General features: G+C 33.4%; 1 annotated feature.

Annotated features, from left to right (window-relative positions):
* Nucleotides 1417-1586: an enhancer, noted in NCBI's record as "experimental_14563 CRE fragment used in MPRA reporter constructs". NCBI's record gives its function as "activates a minimal promoter by MPRAs in K562 erythroleukemia cells, with activity observed for both the introgressed and non-introgressed 10:66719459 variant alleles {active_cell/tissue: K562}" and the evidence as "EXISTENCE:reporter gene assay evidence [ECO:0000049][PMID:34662402]".

Below are 1802 nucleotides of genomic sequence, written 5' to 3'. Positions count from 1 at the left end.
TTGATGATTCCAGATATTGCCAAGAAATTTTTCCTTTTTAGGAGTTATTTTCTTCTTTTGAGGTTTTAAAATGCTTACTATGCCTTGTTTTTGTTTTGTTTTTATGGTAAGCTCCTGTTTCCCCATTGTTTACCCATTGAAATATAAATAGATACGTATCCAGACCTGGTGTTTGTCAATAGGTGATGTGTTTGGTATGCCCTTGAATCATATATCTATTGTTAATATTAGGATACATTTTATCAATAGCTAAATATATATTGTCAATAACTGTCTATACTTTTGCTGTAGCAATTCTGTATAGCAAATAAGTCTAGTGTTACTAGCAATATATTTTGCCATTTAACTCATACTAAGGGTCAGCTGTGGGTTGCTGTGATTGTGAAGGTTTGTTGTTATGTTGCTTTTTAAAAGACTGCAGACTTACTGTGGTTTTGTTCCATCTGTCTCCCTATTCTAACATGCAAGTCTGCTCTCTCATGACTTAGGGGAAAAGCAAAAGCACCCAAACCAAACTATGTAATGACTGAAGCTTCTGCCAGGATGGAGCTAAATTTATTGTACTTGCATCCCATTGGTCAAATTATGTCATATTATCAAGCCCTAAATCAGTGAGGCAAGGATGTATACAATTTCCATTAGATGCACAGGCAAGACACATAGCAATAGCTAAAAAGATTTAATTCTGTTATGAGGAGACAAAAAATAGTTAGGGATAACTATCTAGTCTACACCCATCAATTCATAGGATAATTTTTAAAGTGCTGATTAAATTAAATTTTAAAAGGCTGGTTCTGCCTTTGAGAACATGAGAATATTTTATAGTATTTTGGAAATCTTAGAAAATGTTATAGGTGCCACCATGTGCACTCTTGGAACTGGAAATTTAAATTCATGAGAATAATTTAAAATAGACACATTAAGCACTCCTCACAGGTAAAAGGGCAAAGTCCTTTCTCTCCTTGCAAAATATCAACATTTTTTCCAATTTCGGTTCTATCCCAACACTATAAAATTCTGTTACATATTTTATGATAAAGATAAGGAGAGCTTTTAAATAAAAAAATGCAAAACTCTGACACTGTTACTCATCCTGAGTCAGAAATGCCCGTCCTGCATGTTACTTATTTTCCCTCAATACATCTTATGATATCCATGTAAATATGGTTGAACCACTCCTTTATGTACAGATTTTCAGGTTCTATACACTTATAAACCAACATCTATAAATATAGATGTTATTATTGTAAGATATTTGAAGTCCTTGGGATATTAAAATATCAAAAATGAAACAAGGCAAAACATACCCAGGCCCTACTTAACATCAATTAAATCAAAATCTCTGGGGATGAAGTCATAGCTAATGATTCAAATGTACTTTCAAGGCTGATAACATTTTTCTGAGAAAGGCACAATTATAAGATATCACCAGGTAACTTTACTAAATTAAAAATTAAAAATCTTATATTAGAGAAATATTGGATTATGCTTAATCCTGAAACAATGCTTACCCTGGGACCTGAGATTAACACCTCTATTTCAAATTAAAGCTACCCTCATTATTTTCTATGCCCCTTGGATAGTAGTTGACCACCCTTCTCATGCTCTACAGCTGATTTATGAAGATATCTTTTAGACTCACACATAATGTCTATATGAATTTGGAGAAAAACCCCAAAAACCCATAAAATATAGTGTGCATGACCTTGACCATTTTTGGGGGGAGAATTAGATGTGTTGGTCTTATGAGGTCCACACAAAGCCACATTATCACAGATGGAAATACTGCACCTGGAAGAAAA

This window comes from Homo sapiens, chromosome 10, assembly GCF_000001405.40.
Source record: "Homo sapiens chromosome 10, GRCh38.p14 Primary Assembly".
NCBI classification, from domain to species: Eukaryota; Metazoa; Chordata; class Mammalia; order Primates; family Hominidae; genus Homo; species Homo sapiens.
The sequence above is the reverse complement of the archived record's forward strand: the minus strand, read 5'-3'. Positions and strand labels throughout refer to the sequence as shown.